The sequence below is a fragment of the Homo sapiens genome, chromosome 11 (assembly GCF_000001405.40).
Source record: "Homo sapiens chromosome 11, GRCh38.p14 Primary Assembly".
In the NCBI taxonomy this organism is placed as follows: domain Eukaryota; kingdom Metazoa; phylum Chordata; class Mammalia; order Primates; family Hominidae; genus Homo; species Homo sapiens.
Genome location: NC_000011.10, coordinates 113,660,995 through 113,686,771, shown reverse-complemented (window position 1 = coordinate 113,686,771; position 25,777 = coordinate 113,660,995). Strand labels below are relative to the sequence as shown.

General features: G+C 44.3%; 2 long non-coding RNA genes across 3 annotated transcripts in view, besides 3 other annotated features; both read left to right on the top strand.

Moving 5' to 3' along the window:
- Positions 1-261: 261 nt before the first annotated feature.
- Positions 262-25,777, top strand: part of LOC107984390 (uncharacterized) — a 100,111-nt gene continuing 74,595 nt past the window's right edge. For both annotated transcript variants that reach the window (XR_001748391.2, XR_001748390.2), the window contains exon 1: positions 262-5,439. This is a non-coding gene — a long non-coding RNA (uncharacterized LOC107984390). The remainder of the gene's footprint in view (positions 5,440-25,777) is intronic.
- Positions 18,071-18,365: a silencer, noted in NCBI's record as "tiled region #4594; HepG2 Repressive non-DNase unmatched - State 23:Low". NCBI's record gives its function as "represses a minimal TATA promoter and a strong SV40 promoter by Sharpr-MPRA in HepG2 cells {active_cell/tissue: HepG2}" and the evidence as "EXISTENCE:reporter gene assay evidence [ECO:0000049][PMID:27701403]".
- LOC124902758 (uncharacterized) lies at positions 21,038-23,958 on the top strand. Its single transcript, XR_007062893.1, has 2 exons — positions 21,038-21,683; positions 22,773-23,958. It is a non-coding gene; the product is annotated as an uncharacterized LOC124902758 (long non-coding RNA).
- Positions 21,331-21,625: an enhancer, noted in NCBI's record as "tiled region #4296; K562 Activating DNase matched - State 5:Enh". NCBI's record gives its function as "activates a minimal TATA promoter and a strong SV40 promoter by Sharpr-MPRA in K562 cells {active_cell/tissue: K562}" and the evidence as "EXISTENCE:reporter gene assay evidence [ECO:0000049][PMID:27701403]".
- Positions 21,331-21,625: a silencer, noted in NCBI's record as "tiled region #4296; HepG2 Repressive DNase unmatched - State 6:EnhF". NCBI's record gives its function as "weakly represses a minimal TATA promoter and a strong SV40 promoter by Sharpr-MPRA in HepG2 cells {active_cell/tissue: HepG2}" and the evidence as "EXISTENCE:reporter gene assay evidence [ECO:0000049][PMID:27701403]".

Below are 25,777 nucleotides of genomic sequence, written 5' to 3'. Positions count from 1 at the left end.
GCCCATCTCTCCTTCTCTCTCCCCTTTTTTTTTTTTTTTTTTTTTTTTTGAGACGAAGTCTTGCTCTGTCACTCAGGCCGGAGTGCAGTGGTGCCATCTTGGCTCACTGCAACCTCTGCCTCCCGGGTTCAGGCAATTCTCCTGCCTCAGCCTCCCGAGCAGCGGGGATTACAGGCATACTGCAGCCACCATGCCTGGTTAATTTTTTGTATTTTTAGTACAGACGGGATTTCACCACGTTGGCCAGGCTGGTCTCGAACTCCTGACCTCAGGTGATCCATCTGCCTCGCCCTCCCAAAGTGCTGGTATTACAGGTGTGAGCCACCGCACCTGGACCCATCTCTCCTTCTTAGCTCTTGTTTTGGAACTGGGCCTTTGACTTGGCCTCTCTTTTTGAGTTTTATGCCCAGTTAGCATTTCCTTGGGTAAGCCTCTCCCCAACTCTCTCCTCTCTAGCAGTTAAAATGTGACTGGCATCTTCTTTCTAAAAACTGCAGTGAATTTTTTATGGTGCTTACCCAAGGAAATGCAACTAGTGTTTAGCAATAACAGAACTTTGTGAGTTTATCAGCATATTTTTTGAGGAGTTGTACAAATGATTACTCATTTCTAGAGGGTCTGCTCCCTTTACATGAAGTGCACTAGAAAATGAAGGTTTCAATTTACTGCCAGTTTATTAACCAGGGAAGTAGTTGCTGGGAGTCTGCTGTCAAACTGTAGAAGCAACGTGGGAGAAGTTCTGCTGAATGGCAAAATAGCCTCGCCCTGTGTCCCTGGAGGTCAGACCTTCAGCCTCTACCCTGGGATCAACATTTACTGCCCAGCTCCCTTAAGTCCCTGCCTCAGGAGGCACTGATGGGGTAGTAGATCCCCCTGGGCAGGGATAAGTTAACAGCAAATCCAGCAGCTGTGATCTTTTTTGTGTTTCTGATGTCAATCATAATCATTTGCATATTTAAAGGGAAGTTTAAAAAAATTACAGCCATCAAGGTCTTTCAATACTCAGTAACATTTGAATAGTGTTTTACAGTTTAGAAAACATGCCCATATGTGGGAGCTCACAAATCTATGTGGTGCAGATGTTATTATTATTGTCCTCATTTTCCAGATAAGAAAATTAATTCAGAGAGATTAAGTGACTCCCCCAAGACCACCCAGCTGGTAAGCACTAGAGCCAGGATGTCAACCGTGGGTCTTTTTACTCTAAATCCACATTACTGTCATGCACATGAATGAATGAGATGGTCCAGTATTGCACAGAAGAATAGAATTGGAAGGTACTTGCTCAGGTCACCTGGTGTAAGTCACCTGCTTATAGTAATGCCTTGGCACACCTACCTTTTTTTTTTTTTTTTTGAGACAATCTTACTCTGTCACCCAGGCTAGAGTGCAGTGGCATGATCTTGGTTCACTGCAATTTCTGCCTCCCAGGTTCAAGCGATTCTCATGCCTCAGCCTCCTGAGTGGCTGGGACTACAGGTGTGCACCACCAAGCCTGGCTAATTTTTTTTGTACTTTTTTTTTTAGTAGAGATGGGGTTTCGCCATGTTGGCCAGGCTGGTCTTGAATTCCTGGCCTCAAGCGATCCACCTGCCTTGGTCTCCCAAAGTGCTGGGATTACAGCCGTGAGCCACCACACCCGGCCTCCCACACCTACTTTTTTATAGATGAAGGAACCAAAACCCAGGAATTTAAGAGGCTCCTGCCAAAGACCCTTCTCAACAATATTCTTAGAAATTTTCAGTTCTCCCTGAGATTCACGGTCTTGACTAAAACTTACAAATGAATATCTCCTATAGGAGAGCTATAAAGGGTACCCTAATTAGAGAATTTGCTAATAAAGATTCCTTGCTTACCTATACAGAAGTTCTTGTTCTCTTTGGCCAGGCTACCAGTCAGATCTGCAGATGCAGAATCTCTCACTTTCCTTATTAGCATCTGCCAGTCCAGCTCTTTGGAAAGGGAAGGGAAGCGAGTGGCCTGGCCAGCTCCGTTCCCCTGAGCCTGCTCCTGGAATGAAGGGGTGGAGGTGGGGCCAGGAAGGTTGGGAAGATTCGGGTTCAGAAGGGCCTTAATGAGGACCAGCTGGGTTCCCAGCTATCTTAAGCTCTGTAGGGAATTCGGAGGTAGAAAAGCCGACTGTCTTATTGGAGAAATGAGACTTATTTGCAATAAATTACTAGTAGCCAGCCAGGCAGAGAGCTGAGTGGGGAGGTAGTAATTGCTCAGGGAGTTCCAAGAGCCTGTTGTTACAGAAGTCAGAGTAATTCTGTATGTGGGAAACCTCTGCCTTCCTCCGGTAGGATTCAGCATCCCACCTGCTTGGGCAGAGCTTTCGAGCCTCCTGAGATGTTCCAAGAGGGTCATTCCTGGCTGCCATGATGGGTGCAGATCCCTTCCCTCTTCTTCTGTGTGCTTGTGGGGTCTCAAGGATGCTAGAGGGTTCAGCATCCCTCTAGCATCAGATTCAGGTTCTCCCCTCCTGACACCTTCTGTGGAGTCGTGCTTTTCCTAAAAGGGTTTCTGGGAACAAGGGGCGGCCCTGCCATTCCTCAGGAACATTTCTCAGGCTCTTTCTTATATTTTCTTTTTGGAGGTGCTTGGCTCACCCACAATAGGACAAAACTGGAAATGCTATAAATGCTTAGAACTGGTTTGGTAGCTGTCAGATGTTTTCCCAAGTCCCTCTGATGCTTCTTCTCTCCTCTCTACTCTGCCGTCTCCTGGCCATGCTCTCAGGACCCTCTTGCTGCTCCACAGCTACTCAAAGGAAAACCTACCTTCACCTGCCCCCACTTTCCAGTCCAGCATCCTGGGCCTGAGCCCCATCTATACCTCCCTAGCAGACATGCTGCAGTGAACACTCAGGGTGTGCCGCACCCTCAGGACTCTGTTTCCTACTAAACTAATCAGAGCCAGGTGTTGTTAATGACTTTTTCAACTGTGTGTTAAATCCCTCCACCTCTAGGCAGGTTCGTAAGGAAGTAGGTAGGCAGCAGCTTCCTACTCCTGAGGGCTGAGGCTGGTCTCTCTCATACATTCAAGGCTGGGAAAGAGAGAGGCCAAGCAGGCCTGCCTGCTCGGAGTCTCCCCAGGGTGGAGCACTCCAGGGGGATCTGTGGAGGCTTTCACCTGGAGGTGGTGCTGGAGGGAACCAAGCTGGGGAATCAAACAGAATGGAGAGAGAAATCGTGGCTGCAGAGGCACAGAGTCCTTGCTACTTAGCCTCTCCCAGAACAGCACGTGGGCTCCAGGAAGGCAGAGACTTGCAAAAGGCTGGCATCATCTCGGAGCTTTCTCCCTTCCAAGGAACCTCTGGCTGTGACATCTGATAGTAGGAAACAATGGTTCTAGATGCAGAGTCCCATCACATCCCACGTGGGAATGTGCTGCTCGAGCAGGTGACTCAGTCTCCCTGGATTTTGGTCTCTCATCTGTCAACTTAGAAGTCTGGGCAAGATGGTCTCCACGGGATCTGCCTTGTTAGACCAGCTTTAACTCAAACTTCTTTTGCCTCTTGAGATGTCTGCCCACCACTTCCAGTTTGGATAACCTTTAGGAGCAGCCTGTTCCCTGGGACAGATCTACAGAAGTCAGCTTGCTATAGCTTCACAGCACTGCAAGGCTGCCGTCCCTGGGAGCCCTCTGGGTCCATGGGAGCAATAGAAACTGGGCAAAAGACTTGGAAGGCAGCTTTCGCCATGTTGCTGTACCTAGCATTTGTACCCTGGGCAAGGATTCAAGGAAAGGTTGAGCCCCTCAATCTGGCAGTTTTTTAGGTGCTCTCCAGCTCACTTTCTGATACCCCAGGCTCTGTCTGAAGCCTCATGGGCCCCAGCTCCGCAAAGGCAGCCAAAGGAATTTCCTCTCTACCACGAAGACCGTGAACGCTTTCCTTCTTTCTGTTTTCCTTGACAGCTCCTAAGCTGGCCATGAGGACCCACTCCTTCCTCCAGCCTTTCTTCATGCCTAGAATAGTGAGGAAAGTTGTGGGTTAGCAGAACCGCTAGAAAACATCTGGGATCCAAACCCTGCTCTGGACCCAGCCACATGCCAGGCTCAGGGAGGGAGGATCGGTTTTCCCACAGCCCCTCTGTTAGGGTGACCCATCTTCCAAGTTGGCCCAGGACTGTCCTGGTTTTAGCACTGAAAAGCTTATGTCCTGGGAAACTTTTCAGTCCTGGACAAACTAGGACAGTGGCTCACCCTAAGTCTAATGCATCTCTTCTGTATAAATGGAGTTCTGCAAAATTCAGTGCATCCCCGAATCCTACTATCCTTCCTCAGTTTGAGGAAGCACTCCCTGGTGCACAGAGTTGGAGGAGGAAGGTCCTGGGAATTCTCAAGGTCTGAACTGTTTTGCAAAGGCTGTGACACCAGCAGATGCTGCCTTGCCCTGGAGGCCCTTAAGGAGAGAGCCCCTCCTTCCTCAGGGCCTGCAGCTTCCCTGGTTGCCACTTCCCTGTGGTAGCTTCTGAGCCTGCAGCCAGGGCAGCCCTCCCTCACCTTACCTAATGTTTTGCGCAAACAGCCTGGCCCTCCTAGGCCCAGAACTTCTCTGGCAATTTGCGGGAGGCTAGGAAGGTGAGTCAGGTGTAGTGTTACTCCGGCAAGCCATGCATATCGATGTCCCAGTTTCCCCTGGTCACTCTGATTTCTGGTTCCTAGAGCCCGGTGCGGGCTCAGCATGTTATAGGTGCTGGCTTCGAGTGGTTGAGCCCACTCAGGAGGAGGAAGAGAAGGGCCTGCCGCCCGTACGGGAGCTGGATGGGCTTCTTCTCCTGGCCTCTGCCTTCCAAAGATCATCAGAGAGGAGCAAAGAAGAGACTGCCAGACTGCCAGAGCCCACAGGGATTTTGTGGGGTTTGTTTTTCCTCAGCAGTCCCTGCAGAGGTGAGGACATGAATAAAAGAATGAGGGAAGATTTATTGTTCTCACTTCTTGGCAGTGAGCCTGTATTTGTATAGTGGATCCAGGAGGGGGCTGGAACAGTTGAGAGGACTGCTGAGGCCCAGGCAGAAAGTCAGACCTTGCAAAGTTTTCTGGAGGGACCCAGGTGGGTGGTGGAGGGCGAAGGTGAGGCTGGGAGGAGTGGATTTAGACCAACTCCTCCCCAACCATCAGGGGCCAGAGTGTCCCCACCAGCCACCAGCCTTTTCCCACATGAGGTGGGACAGTGAACAAAGTTTTGGGCTAGCAGAACCATCGGCAGGCAGCTGGGGTCCAAGTATCTCCAAACCCAGCGGCACATGGTGGGCCCGACAGGGTGTGTTACCAGTGAGGATCCCAGAAGAAAGGGCTCCAGCTGAGCTCGTCTGTCACTCCTGCTCCTGATAATGGACGCAATCCAGAAATAACTTTTATCACGGCCTAGCCTGCCTGGGTGGGCCTGGGTGGTGGCTGAGACTTGGAACCTTGCAGCTGAAGATGACATTGCAGGTATGTTACCCCTGCATGTGTGTCTAAGGCTGTACAGCCCATGTTTTGGTGACATTGTACTGTCCCTGGGGCCACCAAAAGATGGGCCTCAATTTGCATGATGTCAATCCTAATGGGTCAAAACTGGTGGCGGAAGGTAGCAGGAGAGTGGAAAGCCTGGGGGCTTGGGAGGCTCTGAGAGATCACAGGATCCATGTGCATGCGTGTATGTTGATTTTGTGGGAAGCTTGAAGGGCCTGAAGGAAGTGGAGAAAGGGAGGGACTCGAACTTCTGACCTAAAATGATCCGCTTGCCTCGGCCTCCCAATGTGCTGGGATTATAGATGTGTCACTGTGCTCGACTGAAGGGAGGAAGTGTAAGGACGCCGAGGTAAGACTCTGCAGAGCTGCTCCCCTAATTGTGAGAGGGACAGATCTGATTCTAGCCACTTTCCATGTGCAGGGCCCCACCATGTTTAGCTGCCTCCTTCAATGGACAATGTCAGGGAAATTCTCTTGCAAATGACCATGCTTCATCCTCAGCAAAAATGGCTCATCCTTCGTGAGTGACCATGTTAAGCCTATCCCCTCATACACATGCTTACATACCACCTGGACACTTTACCTGGCAGGCAGGATCATAAATCCGACAAAGAATTCATTGCAATGGTCCTATACAAGCAATAGAGACCTATAGTAGTAGGTGTGTGTGTAGGGGTCATTTCTCCACAGAGTCTTCTGACGTTTGGGTCATCCTCTCTCAAGACTCCTCCAGGCTCACATTTATGGGGTCCAGACAAGAGTGTGGATAGAGGCCCGTATACCACATGTCTAAATAGTTCAGAGTAATACATCACCCTAACACACTGTTAAACTAAAAACGTTCTATCTTCCTACCATAAAAAATAGACCATATAAAAATATGGAAGGTCAGATCCAAATTTTGAATCCTTGAATTTTTGGATTCTGTCCTGGAGCTTGGTTGATGAAGAGAGTAGGCTTCTGGCCACCTTTTCTCCCCACGCCCTCAGCTAAGGGCTGTCTGCACAGCCGTGCAGACACTCCATCCTGCTTAGGGGTATGCCCAGCAGGGGTACCTGTGCAGCCTCTGGAAGCGGGCTCAGGGACCTTGGGAATTTCAGGATCTAGAGAGAGAGAGACGCAGGTCTGGGTAGGCACAGGACGTCAACATTGCAAATTCTCCCCTTACGGTGGGTCTGGTCAAAGAAGGGCCAGGACAGCAGGGCTGGGACTAGGGTGAGGCAGGTGACGTGCCTCAGTGCAAAATTGAAGGAGGCATCACTCTCAGGGTCATACAAAGGCAGGCTGGCTCCTGCCTCACTCTGGTCTTGGCCCTGCGGGGGGCGGGCCCTCTAAAGTGAGCAGCCCGGAGCAGGAAGGGCTTCTCCCATCTGGTCTCCATGGGTATTGATGGTTACTCCTAACCGTTGGAGTGAGACAAAAAGGCAAGATGACAGAAACAGACCTCTCTCCTGTGAGTCCCTACTTCCCTAAAGCACTGTAAAGCATCCCCTGATTACATTTCAGGGAGCTCCACGTCCGCATCAGCCCAGCCACCATGGTGGTCCCTGGGCTCATTCTCTGCGGAAAAGTACCCAGAGTGATTCATTATCATCCCCACTCACATAGCCTCCTAGAAATTAATGTCGATAAACACCAAAAAAAACTCTAGTGTACAAATACACCGTACTCCAGAACTCTCGCAGGGCAGACTTCAGTGAAAACTAAGGTAAGCCAAAGCTAATTAGGAAAAAAGGGATGTGCAGGGTCAAGGAAAAGCTGTGGAAGAGGAGCTGGGCTGTGAGTCCAGATGCATTTTGGAGAGGTCTGCATTAAACTAAATCACATAGAGGTGCTCATGAAACAGCGGAGAAGGTATGGGAGTCAGTTGTGGGTGTTCTGGAGCCTGTTGAGCAGGTACTGGCTGTTCAGTGTGTGGAGGCATTCGGTGGAGTGGGGCAGGGCGGGGGGGCTGCGTGAGGAGGAGGGGAGGGTGTTTCCCCAGGAGCTGGCAAGTCTGGGTTCTAACCTGGATTCCGGTGCTTGTTGACCAGCCCAGCTAAGTCACTGGACTTTGCTGAGTTTCTATTTTCTCCTTTGCATAATGGAACTAATAATATGTCGCCTGTTTAACTTGCGGAAAAGGTGGGAAGACCAAGTAAAGTAGCAAGAAGGCTTTGAAGGTTGTGTAGGGCTAGGACAGTGTAAAAGGTTGTGGTTAACCTGTGTTGGCAAATCTGCCAGTTGTCTTGTTTATCCAATCAAACCCCATTTACTGAATGTCTCCTTGGTGCCATTCCCTATCTAATCCTTGAGCACCCAGAGATGAATGAAATATCACTACCTTCACGGAGCTTACCATCTAGTCAAAGTAGCTATATTTATTGTTTGCTGTTAGAGCACAAATATGGAATATTTTGAAAGAGTTTGCTACAATTACTTTACAACCATTTATAGATAGATGCTTGTTGACAAGAAAGAATTGATGTGGTAAATGTAAAAATTTCTCATCTACTATCAGCATGTAGCATTTTAAGAACACCAATAGAGGCAAATGGTGTTTTGATTGCAACCTCAGAAGCATGGTTTCCATACCAACCTATTTGCACAGAATAAAAAGCCCAAGGCAAAATGCTGCTTCTAATTCACGAAATGGTAGCTTTGGCTCAATCATCTCTTTAATAGAAAAGACTAAGCCATGTTCCTCCCACCACAGTGCCCCACCAAAGTGTGCAGACTTACACACACATACATATGAACTGAACACACAGTGATGGTAAACTGGGCCCTTAGAGGAATTAGACCAGGCCCTTGGCAGAATTCTGGCCCATCACCTTATGTCTCTGGTCTCAGTTACCTCATCTGTATAATAGGAGTAACGCTGCTTCACAAACGTTATTCAGTGTCACCACGCTGAAATGGAATCAAAGGTATTATTATCTTGAAAGAGCATGGAAAAGAGTAGTCATGCAGGTAGTCCAGGAACACAGCTTAATCTGGAAGGGCTATTTCTGTGATCCTGGGAGGTGGGCAGGCATGGCATGAGAGGCTTGGCTGTCACTTCCTCCCCTTCTGTCCTCTTCCCTCTTCCCTCTTTCTCCTCCCTCTCTTCCTTCTACGTTATTAAACACCTGTGTGTGCCAGAATATAAAGACAAATACATCACTACATCAGCAGAAGCTCTCAATCAGGTGGGGAACGTGGAGATGCACGCTGATGATTTCACTATAGAGCCAGGCGTAAGGCACTACAGGGGCACCAATGAGCCATGGGCTGCTTAAGGAGATGCTGCTTGAGTTGGGTCCTGACGGATGAATTTCAGAACTGAGTTGGAGTGAGGGGAGGTGGCTGGGAGCGGGAGAGAGATAAGGGCATTTGGGACCAAGGGAATAGCATGAAAATACCTGACATTTCCTAGGAAATACCAAGTAGTTCTGTGCAGCTGGAGCAGGGACTGATGCCAGGGAACAAGAGATGCCAGTGAACAGTGTGTGGGAATGAGATTGCTATGCCCTTGTCTGCCAAGCCGAGGAGTCCTCACTTTGTCTTATGGGGAATGGGAGGAGCTGCTGAAAGTTTTCAAGTAGGAGAGAGTCACAATCATAGGCGTATAATGGAGAGATTGCATTGCTCTGGGAGAGGCGTGGAGGAGGGTTTTGAGGGACACTGGCATACATTATAACAATTATAGTGGGATTTCAGACTTCTTTCAATAATAAAATATTTATTTGGAACCCTTAAACACATAAGAGATGAGAGCAGTATTTTATGAGCATGCATATATTTTGTAATTGGTGATACCTACTCTGTATCGATGTGAATGATGTTGTTTTGATGAGCACAGGAAATTGAAATCAGGGCCTATGCATCAAATTACAGAGTTGTATCAGTCTTGGCAACCAGTTTCTCTCTAGATTTTGGTTTGGGTTGCATAGCACCAAGAAATCCCGATTTATACAGTTGAGTAGTTGCAAACAGCAATAGCCTTTTCACAGCTTGACTTTTAGTCTCGGGGTAATTTTTAATTAAAACGAGAAAACTTCATTCAGAGGCCTGCATAAAAATAAGTTAATCTGGCATCCTAAGCTAATGGGCTGGTGGCCTCTATGTATCAAAATTGGGTATATACCACATTGTCATTATGGTTTGTTTAGATGGTTAAAATAAATTTTAAATGAGATTTAAATAAAATGTTTGAGAACCCCCCTAGCCATATATGAGAACTGAAGATATATGAAATTATTCCTACCTTGAGAGTGAAGGGTATTTTCTGACTTATTTGTGTCCGTCATTCACTGGGAGACCACAATTGGCCTTCACCATGGCTGACGCTGGACTGTTGGGGTTGCATTGATAAAGACTTCTTTACTGTGGCAGTTGAGGAACTTCTCTCAAAAATATTGGAAAGCGGGGTGGGGGATGACTACACTGGGCTCATCTTTCTTATAGACAGTGTGTGAAATGTGCATAATCTTGGTCATTGTCTGAACCATGACTGTGGACATTGGGGAACTCACATAAAATGTTGCTGATGTCAGGATTTTGAAAGACCCCACATCCATCTGGAAACTTCTGTCTGTGTACTCCCAGGGAGCTCCATGCAGTATAAAAGTCCATCAAGAGGAGACTGGCGAGTGCTCCTTTTACTGAGCACTTGCTATCTGCTGGGTGCTGTTTTATGCGCTTTATATGTACTGACACTTTTATTCTTCACAGCATCCCTACAAGTTGATTGCTATTATTATTTCTATTTTACAAATGAGGAAATTGAGGCACAGAAGAGGTTAAACATCTTGCCCAAGTCACACAGCTAGCAAGTGGCAGAGCTTGGATTTGAATCCAGTAGTTTGGCACTAGAACCCGAATCTCTAATTACCATGCTCTAGTGTGCTTCTTTAAGGAAAGAATTCATATTGGACCTTTGAAGTCAAATCTCTTTTAATTGGGAATGAACACTGCATTTGTGCTTTAATTGTCCCTAATCATGCCCCCAGTGCTAGTCAGAGAATGTGGGTTCTATGATGATGTTCTTATGGCGATGTTCAGGATGGGGTTTCAGTGAAATCATATAATATGCAATACCAGTGGGGAGGGGGTACTTTACATCTATTTGACATTTTTTGAAATGTACTCTCTGGAGCTGGGCTTGAGCCAGGCATTCATGACACTCTCAGGTGCCATGAAGTCAGTAAATTATCCTCGGGGTCTGTGAGCTAGGCAGTCTCTGCTTTCTCTTTTAATTGCAGGATCCAAGGTACAAAAAGGATGGAGCAGACCCAGAACAGCAAGGGTAATGCTCAGGCTCTGGGTAAGGTGTGGTCCTGGCCCCTGAATCCTTCTCAAACCCACCCTTATCTGGCATTCGTCCTTCCAAGTAGAGAGAAGCTGCCCATTTAAGCCTCCATTGTGACAGGAGGCTGAAAAGTGTAAGAGAAGGCTGGAGTGAAAGTGAATTGGCAAAGCAACTAAACTGAGAGGAAACAGCAGGGTCGGAGTAGTGACTGCAACAAAGCCAGTCTATTAATGGAAGGTCCTAAGGGACCAGGCTGGATTTTCTCAAGAATGAACACTAAGCCAAGCTGACTGAATAAATGAAGACATGTCCATCAGGGACGCACTGATTGGCAGGAGCAACATGCTGTAAAATCAAGTCACAGTCAGGGTCGAAGCTGACATGTTTGCTGAGTCTCGGAGTGGCCACCACTCCTTAAAGCTGGACAAAATTTATTTCAGGATTCACGAAAGAAATCTCCTGCTGGGGACAATTTTATGGCACTCCTTACTCTGATATTCGAACCACAGAATGAAAATAGCATCAAGAAAGGATTTAATGAGTTCTTGGAGAGTGAAGACAGAAAGGGCTTATTAAGGAAAATCAGGGAGGCCCAAAGAATTTGCCCAACTGCGTGGGAGAGCCACTGTGAAGTTCAGCATGCTTCCCCTGACCCCTCTGATGCCACTGCACACCCAAGTATTCTTAAGTCATGATTTCCAAGTGTCCCTTGAGGGTTTCTGCTCAGGCGCCAGCATGCTGTACTCACCCCCAACCTCACATTCGGGGTTTTGTGTGAGCATCATGCTGGAAAATCTCACACCCCTTAGTCATAGCCCACAAACCTCAAACTGTCAGCTCCTGGGGCTCCTGTCCAGCTCAGGACTCTGAGAATGAGTATGTGGCCCCTTTGCATGTGGCTAAACTGTTGCCCCAGCACAGAAGAACAGAGAGAACCAGCACTTTTTGCACCGCTACTTTGTGTCATGCACTAAGCCAGGTGTGTTATTAGAGTTGATTCACTGAGTCTTTACAAAATCCCTGTGAGGGGGTAGCCTGTTCTTCTCTGCGTAAGAGGAGATGGAGCCTCAGAGATATTAAGTAACACACTTAAGGTCACACAGCTGGTGAGGGGTAGGAACGGATTCAAGTCTACATTTTCTGGCTCCAAAATCTGTGCTCTTCTACTATTCCTGCCTCCTGAACAGAAGACAAGAAGCTCCCCCTCTTTGCCCTGAAGTCTAGAAGCAGTGTCTCCCAGCAGGGATGAGACCAGAATATTCCATAGGGGAGTTAGAAGCTCTTAGTTCTTGCCGTGACCTTTGGGCAAGTTATTTGACCTTTCTGAGTTTCAGTTTCCAACATGGATAAAATAGGAATAATATACTCCCTCACCTCTTTGCAGAGCTGTGATAGATCTAAGATAAAAGCAAATGTGCAGAAGCACTTTGCCACTGTCAAGCATGCATTTGATTGTAGAATAACCCTTGTTAAATGCTGTGAGTTTACCCTCTTCGTCCCACATCACGATTCATCGAGGTTTGCTGAGTGAATGTTGATCCACAAACATTCTGGGCTTGGACTGATCAAGATCTCACTACTCTGCCAAGAGGAAAAAGTCATTTGCTATTCCTTTCAGAGTCTGGTCATTGTGGGGAAGAATGGTGAAAAAAAAATCCATCTAAGGGGCAAAACTTCCTTTTGTGCCACCATAGGAAAGAAAGTAACTTTTGGATTTAAGGCCTGGCAGCCAGCCAAGCTCCAGAGAACAATGGAAGCTGCCCAGGCACCAGGCAAGAGGGGAGGGCAGGTGATGAGTCCATTACCTGGGATGAGGACGGCAGCTCCAGCCAGAATCACAGGCATTTCAGGACTTTCAAGAGTTAGACTGGGGAGGGGGTAGTGATGGCAAATGCAGGAGGTGATGTCTGTGTAGACCCTGGGAAGGACTGTGGCTCACCTGGGCTCAGTGGTATAAGGAGGAGCCCTTGTGATGTCTGGAGCCCTCCTGATCTCCAGCTGTCCCACTTGCCTGCTCGTGGTGGGGTCCTACTGAGATTGCCTCTCTCTCAAAGTACTTCCTTCATCCTACATCAGAACTCCCCTTCCTGCTACCTGTCCCTCCAATCTTGTTGTCTGCTGCCTGTCAGGGATGGAAAACAGTGTGATCAACACCTCCCACTCCGACCCTTGTGTGTCTCCCGAGACATAACTGGTTTTTCTGTGCTGCTCTTCTTAGTCTTTTCTGTGAGCAACCACTGAGCCATCTGCTATGGCCAGGCACTGTGCTGCAGGCAGGAGGAGATGGATAAATAAATCAGCACTGACTTCATCATGTCTTTTTATTTTCTGTATTTTTTGATGTTTTGACATCTGGGGCCTGGCTGATTCTGGAGGGACTGCCCCTCCTAGGGCTTAGTCAATTCCTGGATATAGAAAGGACTCACTTGCAAGTGTGCCTTTTAAATGCAAACAAACAAATCCAAAGCTCATACCCCCAACTACCTCTTTTATTGGGCTCTCACAGGGTACTCACACTCTGGGCCACTCTTACTAGAAACAAAACAGAACAAAACAAAACAACTCTGTAGTTACTGATGAGGAAGAGAATGCCTTGAGATGACTTCAGGTCAGAGTAAAAGAGTAATCTGAGTGTTTGCCCCTAGAACCCCACTCTTAGGGCTGAGAGAGGTACCTAGGGGCCGAGGAAGCCCCTGAAGGATGGTCTTAACCACCAAACAGAAACTCTGAGATACTAGGATTCTGTTATGTCAACTTGACAGCTCTGAAATAGTGAGTGATCTGGTCTGAGATCGCCCCGTGGGGAGCAGATCAGTGAAAGAAGCAGAAAGAATAGGAAACAGGATTGGGCCTGTTTGATAAAGGATGTGCTTGTGTGTGTGCATGTGCGTGTGTGTGTGTGTGTGTATGTGTGTGTGTATTGGAGGTCTTTAGGAGGAGAGAAGCGTGGAAGGACAGCATCAACACCTGGCATGGGAGCCAGGCTTTGGCACTGGTGGTAGTGGGGAGGCAAGTTGTGTTATGGGGCATGCAAGCACCCTTACTCCTTGGGACACTCATCATTCCCCAGACATTGCTTGCCTGTGACATCTCTGTGGCAGGGGTGAGACGTGATGCTGACAGGGGCAGTAGAGTAGGGGTTAAGAGCAGGACGTTTGAGGTTGCACAGACCTGGAATTTCAGCGTCAACTTTTACTGTGCCCTTGGATGAGCTACTGATCCTTTCTGGGGTGTTTTTTTTTATTATTATTATACTTTAAGTTTTAGGGTACATATGTACAACTTGCAGGTTTGTTACATATGTATACATGTGCCATGTTTGTGTGCTGCACCCATTAACTCGTCGTTTAACATTAGGTATATCTCTTAATGCTATCCCTCCCCACTGCCCCCACCCCACAACAGGCCCCGGTGTGTGATGTTCCCCTTCCTGTGTCCATGTGTTCTCATTGTTCAATTCCCACCTATGAGTGAGAACATGCAGTGTTTGGTTTTTTGTCCTTGTGATAGTTTGCTGAGAATGATGGTTTCCGGCTTCATCCATGTCCCTACAAAGGACATGAACTCATCATTTTTTATGGCTGCATAGTATTCTATGGTGTACATGTGCCACATTTTCTTAATCCAGTCTATCATTGATGGACATTTGGGTTGGTTCCAGGTCTTTGCTATTGTGAATAGTGCCACAATAAACATACGTGTGCATGTGTCTTTATAGCAGCATGATTTATAATCCTTTGGGTATATATCCAGTAATGGGATGGCTGGGTCAAATGGTATTTCTAGTTCTACATCCATGGGGAATCGCCACACTGACTTCCACAATGGTTGAACTAGTTTACAGTCCCACCAACAGTGTAAAAGTGTTCCTATTTCTCCACATCCTCTCCAGCACCTGTTGCTCTGTCACTCAGGCTGGAGTGCAGTGGTGTGATCTCTGCTCACTGCAACCTCTGCCTCCCAGGTTCAAGCAATTCTCCTGCTTCAGCCTCCTGAGTAGCTGATACTACAGGAATGCACCACCATGCCCGGCAAATTTTTGTAGTTTTAGTAGAGATGGGGTTTCACCTTGTTGGCCAGGCTGGTCTCAAACTTCTGACCTCAGGTGATCCACCACCTCGGCCTCCCAAACTGCTGGGATTACAGGCGTGAACCACTGCACCCAGCCTGCTGATCCTTTCTGAACACTGGAAAATGGGGATAATACCACCCTTAAAGGGTTGTGTGAGAATAAAATACAATGATGTCTGCAAGGAGCTTAGCACATGGTAGGCATACTCCTACCCTAGGGTAATCCTCCACCGCCTGGATTGTTCTTTCTCCAAATGTCTGCAGGGCTACTTCCTCTCTCTGACTTAAGTCTCTGCCATTCTAAAAAGAGCAAACCCTCCCTAGTCCTGGGCAATTCCTGGTCCTATTCTCTGCTTTATTTTTTCCCATAGTACTTGTCACCATTTAACATAGCATATATTTTACTAATTTGTTATTCCCCCGACTAGGATGTAAGTTTCATGAAGGCAGGAATTTTTGTCTATTTATTATATCCTGAATGTCTGATATGTAATAAGCATGCCATAGATATTTGTTGAATGATTGACTCACAAAATATATCATAAATTTTAATTATACATATTAGTTGTTGGACACTTTTGCCATGTCATAGCCTTGGAATAATTAAGTCTCATGAACCTCCTTATCCAAGAGTCCAGGTCTCATTATCATAGGGGACCCTCCTTTCTTAAGCATTAGAGACCAGACAGAAGGAAGGTGGGATTCACACAAAAACTTTAATCCTCAGCAGTTCTCAACCCTGGCTGCATGTTAGAATCACCTTGGTGGCTTTCTGAAAATAGCAATGATTGAACCACTTCTAGAAACTCTGATTTAACTGCTCTGGGATGTGGCTTGGACTTAAAATTTCCTTTTAAGCTGCCCTGTTGATTCTACTGTTGAGGATCAATAAACTATGTGAACTCGAAGCTACTGAAGGCTAGAGAATGAGGGTCTTGCACAACAGCCTGCCATTGAGGTTGGAGGAGACATTGTTCCCAGACCAAACTGAGGGTCAGGCTGCTTATTCTTGCAGCCCAATATGGAGATGCAGATGAACTGGGAAAGAAGAGAGTTATTTTTGTAACCGGGTACAGGGAGAAGACCTGGAAAAAATCGCCAGACCAACTCAAAATTACAAAGTTTTCCAGAGCTTATATACCTTCTAAGCTATATGTCTATGTGTAAGTGTGCAGGCATCTAAAGATATAAGTGATTAACTTCTTCTAATCTATAACTAAGGTCTGAGTCCTGAAGACATTCCTCTGGAACCTAAGTAAATTTACTTAATCTACATGGATCCCAGTGCTGGGGTGATTACCCTTATCTTGTCTCCTGCTAAATCATGGAGGTTTGGGGAGTTCAGACCTCCAAACCTTCAGACCTCCAATAAACTTGTTTGTGGAGGTCTGGAGAGTCTCTTCAGACCTCCAATAAAAATTTGTTTAATCCTAAATGGGTCCTGTTAAGAATTCTTTCATTATCTTGTCATGCTTCAAGGCCCAGGAAAGGCCTAGGCAAAACTCTTGGTGGGCTTTTGTTACATTCTAGTCTTTGTATAAGGAGACTTCTTCAGCTTTTAATATTTAACCACTCAGTCAGTGCTGAAACAGCTGTTACAGAGGCCTGCCTGATCAGCCAGGAGTGAGATCTGGCCTGTCACAAGGTAGAACAGTCTCTGGATTGACCAGGGCACTCTAACCCTTTAGCCACAGGCAGATGGAACATTCCAATAACCAATTAAGAAAATAAGAGGCATATCCTGAAGGAGGACTTGTTCTGCATTTATAATTTTGAGTTTAGGTTTAAATCAGCACAGTTCAGTTCCAAGCAGCTGTAAAACTCAAGTGGAGGTTTGAACTTACAATAATGTGAATATCAGTCTGGATCTAGGATATTCTGGATCCCTCCTCTCATTAGGGTGAGTAGAGGTCTCTGCTTTCACTACACACAGTTCTCCCCCTCTTGTCTCCTTTCTGCACTCTTCTACACTTAGCCAGTGGTGGGGATGCAGGAGACTTCTGCGACCTAGAGTGAGGCTTTTTCACTACTAGCCACATGCAGGTGGGCTCCATAGAGGGTGAATAATCTCACCTTGCCCAGCTCCGTGCATATGTTGCCCCTAATTGTGCCTGGGCTTCTCCCTGCTAAGTCCAAGCAAAGGCCGGCTTTCTTGGCTAACAGAGCTGTTGTTCTTCAGCATACATCAGAATCACCTGGAGAGATCATCAAAACACCAACTGCTGGGACCCTCCACCAAAGTTTCTGATTCTGTAGATCTGGAGTGGGGCCTGTGAAATTGCATTTCTTTTTTTTTTTTTTTTTTTTTGAGATGGAGTCTCCCTCTGTCGCCCAGGCTGGAGTTCAGTGGCACAATCTCAGTTCGCTGCAACCTCTGCCTCCTGGGTTCAAGCAATTTCTGGCTTATTTTTGTATTTTTAGTAGAGACGGGGGTTTCACCATGTTGGCCAGGCTGGTCTCATACTCCTGACCTCAAGTGATCCGCCCTCCTTGGCCTCCCATAGTGCTGGGATTATAGGCATGAGCTATCTCGCCAGGCCATGAATTTGCATTTCTAACAAGTTCCCAGGTGGTGCTGATGCTGCTCGTCTGAGAACCACACTTTGAGAATTTCTGCTTTAAAGAAACAAGATCCTTTCAGTCTGGATTCTGTGGGTATTAACCCAATTTAGGGAACCAAACCCTGGGCATATTTCTGGCAATGCAGGACATAAAGCTGTGTACTTTGTTCCTTCTTCACAGAAACCACTTAAGCAACCTATTTTTAGTCTTATTGACTGTTTTCCTTTCTCTTAGTTCTCAGCCTTTTCTTCTATTCTGGATTGAAGTTTTCATCTTTTCATAAATTCCAGGCTGTTTTATGACTTGGCTGTGCCTGGAATGCCCTTTCCCTTTCTCTGTCTGGCTATTTTATTTGTCTCTTTTGGTTAGAAGGCATAGGCACTCACTCAAATTACAGTCATCCCTTGGTAGACATGGGTGGATTGGTTCCAGGACGCCCCATGGATACCAAAATTTGTGCATACTCAAGTCCCACAGTCAACTCTGTGAGACCCGTGTATATGAGAAGTCAGCCTGAAATATACACAGGTTTTGTATTTCATGAATACTGTATTTTTGATCCCTGTTTGGTTGAAAAATATCTGTGTATAAGTGGTCTTGTGAAGTTCAAACTGTGTTGTTCAAGGAGGTCAACTGTACTTCATTTCATTTTAAAGATCCCCAAAGAAGCTGAACAGATCTCAGGAAGAGCAGGAACAAGTACATGGTTCTGATTTCAAGGTGGCAGAATGGGCAAGAGGAGCAGAAGAAATTTGTGTGTCTTTCTTTCATCACTAGAAGTCCAATGTGCTATTCATTGCACCACAAAGCCATCTGTTTGTGTGTCTTTCTTCTATTGTTTGACCATTAAGTGAATCAGCAGCTCTGTGTATCTGCTCCTTACTTGGCTCTCTACCAATACCTTATACTTCCCCAGTACTCTATTTTTGTTGACTTTATAGCTTCTGCTTACTCTTCCTCATCTTATTTATCATTTCTGTTTCCTTATAACTTTGGCTGCCAAGGCTTAAGTTTTATCTCACTGACATTCTTTCAGATAGAGCCACCATTAGGGGTTTAGGGCCCTGTTTACATAAACAATTTAAAGCACTCTGGAATGATCAGGTGAGAACCTCTTAAAATCTTTGCCTTCATAAAAGCAACAGGAACTCTGGAAAAAAATAGTCAAAATTAATTTTTCAAAATTCTGGAAATTAACCAAAAACTTGCAATAATTTGAAAATGTTTTATTTAAGAAATGACTAAATGTTAGTAAGAATAGCACATTTTTGTAGCATTTAAACTTATCCTATCCTTCTTACGAGCTACTCAGTAATCTTGGAAACCAGCTAGCCTCAGAACTGTGCTATGAAAACCAGGAGCCTAGTGGCCACTGAAGAAAACAGAATGAGTCTGGAGCTCTTCAGAAAGCCTCATACCCAGAAAAGGGTCACTATTTGACCTGCCTGGCAGATCCCTGGAGAAGATCCATTCTCAATGCTTGTCTTTATTATAGCCAACTCAGAGCTTAGACTTGCAGGAAATCAAGTTACCAACATAGCTTATGTGAGTCCCAGAAGAAGAATGAGAGAAAAGGACAGAAAGAATATTTGAAGGAGTAATGACTAAAGTCTTTCCAAATTCAATAAAAACATTAATTTACACACACCAGAATGTCAACAAACTGATAGCAGGATAAACCTAAAGAGATCCATACCTAGACACATTATAGTCAAAATATCAAAAGCCAAAGCCAAAGAGAATCTTGAAAGCAGCAGGAGAGAAGTAACTCATCACCTACAAAGGATCCTCAATAAGATTACTATCTGACTCTCATGGAAGCTAGAAGGTATTAGGATAATGTATTCAGAATCCTGAAAGAAAAAGATTAGGAACCAAAAAAACTAAATCCAGCAAAGCTATCCTTAAAGAAATGAAAGTAAAGTTTAGACAGTTCCAGATAAACAAAAACTGAGAGAATATCTTGTTAAAAGACCCTCTGCAAGAAACACTGAAGGGAGTCCTTCAGGACAAAAGGAAAGGGCACTAGACAGCAACTTGCATCCACATGAAGAAATAAAGAGCACTGATAAAGGGAACTACATAGATGAATATAAAAGACAGTATAAATATTTTATATCTGTAACTCTTTTTCTCTCCATCGATTTAAAAGACAACTGCATAAGGTAATAATTGTAGAACTGTATTGACATGGTTATAATGTATAAAAATGTAATTTATGTTACAATAAAAGTAAAAGGGAGGGAAAAGGGAACAGAACTATATTGGAGTAAAGATTTTGTATACTATTTTGAAATTATTTGTATACTATTTTGAAATTATTTGTATTTTGAAATTAAGTTGATTTTAATTCAAACTAGATTGTTTTAAGTTGTACATTTTAATCCCCAAGGCAATCACTAGAAAAATAACTCAAAAAATAATGTAAAAGAAACAAAGGAATTAAAATGGTATACTAGAAAATATCTATTTAGCACAAAAGTAAGCAGTAATAAAGGAATGGAGCATCAGAAAACACATGAAATATAGAAAACAAATAGCAAAATGGCAGAAGTATATCCTACCTTACTAGTAATTATATTAAATGTAAATGGCCTAAACATTCCAATCGAAAGGCAGAGATTGGACACAAAACCATAATCCATCTACATGCTGTTTATAATACAGATATTTTAGATTCAAAGACATAAAGAGGTTGAAGGTAAAAATATGGAAAAAGGTATGCGATGCAAGGAGAAACCAAAAAAGAGCTGGAGTGGCTACATTAATATCAACAAAATAGACTTTAAGACAGAAATTATTACTAGACAAAGAAGGATACTTTAGGCCAGGCACAGTGGCTCATGCCTGTAATCTCAGCACTTTCAGAGGCCAAGGCAGGAGGATCACTTGAGCCCAGAGGTTCAAGACCAGCCTGGGCAACATAGTGAAAACTTATCTCTATTTTAAAAAATCATTAGAAAAGAGAAGAACATTTTATAATAACAAGGTGCAATTTATCAGGAAGATATAACAATCAAGCTTATACACATCTAACAAAAGAGCTCTATGTGGATTGAAGGAACAAAAGGCAACTCAATAATGGTTGAAGCCTTCAATACCTACTTTCATTAATGACTGAAGATCAATAAGGAAATAGTGGCAGCACTATCAGCCAACTAGACCCAACAGACATCTATAGAACACTCCACCCAACAACACAGACTACACTTTCTTCACAAGTGCATATGGAACATTCTCCAGTATAGACCATAGTCCATAAAACAAATTATTATAAAAAAGATAGACAATGACAAGTTTTAGTGAGGGTGTGAAGAAATTGGAACTCACATATATTGCTGGTGGGAATGTAAAATGGTGCCAGCCACTTTGGAAAACAGTTTGGCAGTTCTTCAAAAGGCTAAACATAGAGTCACCACACAGCCCAGAAATCCCACTTGTAGGTGCATACTTAAGAGAAGTAAGGACATCTGATCATATAAGTGTCTTTACCTGAATATTTATTTCAGCATTATTTATAGTAGGCAAAAAGCAGAAACAACCCAAATATCCAACAACTAATGAATGAATAAATAAAATGTGATATATGTATAAGCATACAATGGAATATTATTTGGCAATAAAATTGAATAAAGTACTGATATATGCCATAACATGGATGAATCTTGAAAATATTATGCTAAGTGAAAGAAGCCAGAAACAAAAGACTACCTATTGTATGATTTCATTTATATAAAATGTTAGGAATAGGCAAATCCATTGAGGCAGAAAGTAGAGTCATAGTTGCCAGGGTCTGGGAATGGGAAGTGACTGCTCATGAGTATGAGGTGTTGGAAGTAAAGCTCGGAGTCACAAAGAAAATGAGTACTCAAACAAAAGATTTTTCAGTAAGGCTAATTTACTTCTGTAGAAGGGTGTTTTCTGCAGGACTGGTTGTCATGAAAGTACACTGAACAAAGGAGGGAAAGAGTTTTTATTTTTAATGCAGTTTGTCCCTACTACTGTGTCCTTTCTCCGTTGGCTGAAGTTGGACCACACAATCTAAACTGAACCCGATTGACTAACTTGAAAGACAGCTTTGGCGGGAAGAGCCGTTACAGCTGGAGGGGTAAATTACAGAGTGAGTAGCAGACGTGGGCTCTGTAGATAAAGACTGGCGGGAGAGTTATTTACTGGAACCAGGAGCAGGGAGGCACAAAGGATAAGGAAGTTGGACCTTGAAAGTAGAGAACAAAGAAACTAAACAAACTAAACCTTTGAAGAGGAACTTCTCTTGGATCTGACAAAGGTTTCTTTGAGGATGTTTTGCAGCGAGCAGGTAAATGCAAACCTACCCCAGACGAATCCAGTTTCTCAGAGAGAAACATTTAATATGGACTTACAAACAGAAGTGATATCTTAGGCAACTGCCAGACAGTAGATCCCCACACCCACCCTCCAGAAAATATTCTTTATATAGTAAGCTTTTTTGATAAAACACTTGCATCTGTCATGCCTCAGACTTTCTTGCAAATACTCATGACCACTGGGGAGGTTAGATAAACATCTTTATGAGGGGTTCTCTGCGCTACATGAACACTTTGGTACGCAGGAGTCAAACATCGGTCATCACGGCAGTTTTGCTTCAAGGCGGCATCACTCTTACCATGCAACAGGCTGTTTTCCTACAAGGGTGGTGAAAATGCTCGATAATTAGATAGTTATCATGGCTGTGCATCTCGGTGAATATGCTAAAAACCACTGAATTGTACACTTTAAAAGGATGGATTTTATGGCATATGAATTATAGCTCAATAAAGCTGTTATAAAAATGCATGATAAAATCCATAGGTCCATGTGAAGCACAGTAATTTACCAGTAAAGATTTAGAATAATGGGTAGAGAAGGGGTACTTATGTATTTGTTTATCATCTAATCTGATAAACAAATTTATCTTTCTTCATAGTGTCTAGGCGTCGGCTGTTCCTAGGAGCTATCACCTCATGGTCTTTATTGTTAAATTTATGGTTTCTGGCTAATTTTATACCTCCTACTGAGAAAAAAGCGGGAATGTTTTTATTATGCATAATATCATCGCTCTTAGAAATGTGTTTTTTATTGAAATGGTATAATCTTCTTGCTACTGCAGTTCCCTAATACCATGCATTTCAGACTGGTTACATCATTACTCATGACCCTGTATCATGTGTCACACCACCTGTGAGTACTGACTTTTAATGACTCTCTCAAAGGTTGTTACTATGCTTCTTTGTTGAGGATGACTACTAACACAAGTCTTAACCAGAGTATACAAAAAAATGTGACCAATCCTTTGTACTATGGTCACATTAAATTCATCCTTTGGAATTTTGTAGCATAAACTTTGAACAACACATTTTACAATAATGTATTCTTTTGACTTCTTTAGGGACTTAAGAATATGATTTTTTCCACTGTTGACTGCTCTCTGGTCTTTCGCACACTGCCACCTGCAGAGAAGATAGATGAGGGAAACACAGGTGGAGGGATAAGGGCAGTCTCTTGTCTGGGATGGCTTAAGACTAATCTAGAAGAACATGATGTCACCACTTCAACTGAAATCAAGAGAAGACATCAATCAGAAGGGCCTGTTGGCACTGTGGAGCAATGATGTCTAAAGACCTTGGAGGGGATGATTCAGCTACCCCAGGCAACTGCCTGACATGTGGCACAGAGCATGGATGCCGGGGTGGGAGTACATGTGCACCCTCATTGCTTTTGGGTACTGTCAACTGAAGGTGGCACCATGATTGGAACACAGATGGATGAGAGCTGATGCATGGGCCCCCACACATAGTTTAAGCCCAAGGATGGGTGGTGGATTTCTGATAGCCTAGAGTTATGAACTCATCTTGTGTCTGACGTGACTGTCACCAAAAGAAGTGTGACAACACCACTTTGGCAGCCCAATCTTTTGCAACCCCATGAAAGAAATACTGCAGAAGCCAGTAGAAGCAATCCACTTGCCAGGTTGCCCTCCTGGAACCAGGGTCCACCCATGAGAGCCAACGACAACCACATCAGCCTTTGTGCTCCTTGGGGCATCTGGTCAATCTCCTGCATGGGATAGAAGCTCCGGGAATACCCCAAAGGGGAGAAGCAGAGAAGAGGGCCTATGCCCTTCCTTGTCCAGGCTTGGAGTGCCTCGCTTGGATGATACTGCTAGCCCCAACTGGTCCCAGACATCAGAGAGGAAGTGTGGTCCTCCTGAGGTTTGGGGCCCAGGACAGGGGCTCTGCTTGCTCTGATCTAAAAGCAGTACTGTTTCTAGGTTTACTACTCACTACTAACTACCTTATTGATTTTGTGCTTCTTGATTTAAAAATTCCAGAGAAAATGGTTGTCTTAGCTAATCAGTTTTGCTCTGAGCCAACGGTATTCAAAGCATGGCCTGTGGACCCCTAGTGGGTCTCCAAGACCCTCTCAGGGGTCTATACAGTTAAAACTATTTTTTTCATGATAATATTAAGATGTCATTTGCCTTTTTCACTATGTTGACACTTGCAATGATGGTACAAAAGCTATGGTGAATAAAACTGCTGGCACCTTGGCACAAATCAAAGCAAGGCCACCAACCATTCTAATAGTTGTATTTTTTTTTTTTATCATCGGGCACTTTTTTTTCTTTTACTTATTATTATTATTATACTTTAAGTTTTAGGGTACATGTGCATAATGTGCAGGTTAGTTACATATGTATACATGTGCCATGCTGGTGTGCTGCACCCATTAACTTGTCATTTAGCATTAGGTATATCACCTAATGCTATCCCTCCCCTCTCCCCCCACCCCACAACAGTCCCCAGAGTGTGATGTTCCCCTTCCTGTGTCCATGTGTTCTCATTGTTCAGTTCCCATCTATGTGTGAGAACATGCGGTGTTTGGTTTTTTGTCCTTGTGATAGTTTACTGAGAATGATGATTTCCAGTTTCATCCATGTCCCTACAAAGGACATGAACTCATCATTTTTTATGGCTGCATAGTATTCCATGGTGTATATGTGCCACATTTTCTTAATCCAGTCTATCATTGTTGGACATTTGGGTTGGTTCCAAGTCTTTGCTATTGTGAATAGTGCTGCAATAAACATAAGAGTGCATGTGTCTTTATAGCAGCATGATTTATAGTCCTTTGGGTATATACCCAGTAATGGGATGGCTGGGTCAAATGGTATTTCTAGTTCTAGATCCCTGAGGAATCGCCACACTGACTTCCACAATGGTTGAACTAGATTACAGTCCCACCAACAGTGTAAAAGTGTTCCTATTTCTCCACATCCTCTCCAGCACCTGTTGTTTCCTAACTTTTTAATGATTGCCATTCTAACTGGTGTGAGATGGTATCTCACTGTGGTTTTGATTTGCATTTCTCTGATGGCCAGTGATGGTGAGCATTTTTTCATGTGTTTTTTGGCTGCATAAATGTCTTCTTTTGAGAAGTGTCTGTTCATGTCCTTTGCCCACTTTTTGATGGGGTTGTTTGTTTTTTTCTTGTAAATTTGTTGGAGTTCATTGTAGATTCTGGATATTAGCCCTTTGTCAGATGAGTAGTTTGCGAAAATGTTCTCCCATTTTGTAGGTTGCCTGTTCACTCTGATGGTAGTTTCTTTTGCTGTGCAGAAGCTCTTTAGTTTAATTAGATCCCATTTGTCAACTTTGGCTTTTTTTGCCATTGCTTTTGGTGTTTTAGACATGAAGTCCTTGCCCATGCGTATGTCCTGAATGGTAATGCCTAGGTTTTCTTCTAGGGTTTTTATGGTTTTAGGTCTAACGTTTAAGTCTTTAATCCATCTTGAATTGATTTTTGTATAAGGTGTAAGGAAGGGATCCAGTTTCAGCTTTCTACATATGGCTAGCCAGTTTTCCCAGCACCATTTATTAAATACGGAATCCTTTCCCCATTGCTTGTTTTTCTCAGGTTTGTCAAAGATCAGATAGTTGTAGATATGCGGCGTTATTTCTGAGGGCTCTGTTCTGTTTCATTGATCTATATCTCTGTTTTGGTACCAGTACCATGCTGTTTTGGTTACTGTAGCCTTGTAGTATAGTTTGAAGTCAGGTAGCATGATGCCTCCAGCTTTGTTCTTTTGGCTTAGGGTTGACTTGGCGATGCGGGCTCTTTTTTGGTTCCATATGAACTTGAAAGTAGCTTTTTCCAATTCTGTGAAGAAAGTCATTGGTAGTTTGATGGGGATGGCATTGAATCTATAAATTACCTTGGGCAGTATGGCCATTTTCACAATATTGATTCTTCCTACCCACGAGCATGGAATGTTCTTGCATTTGTTTGTATCCTCTTTTATTTCATTGAGCAGTGGTTTGTAGTTCTCCTTGAAGAGGTCCTTCACATCCCTTGTAAGTTGGATTCCTAGGTATTTTATTCTCTTTGAAGCAA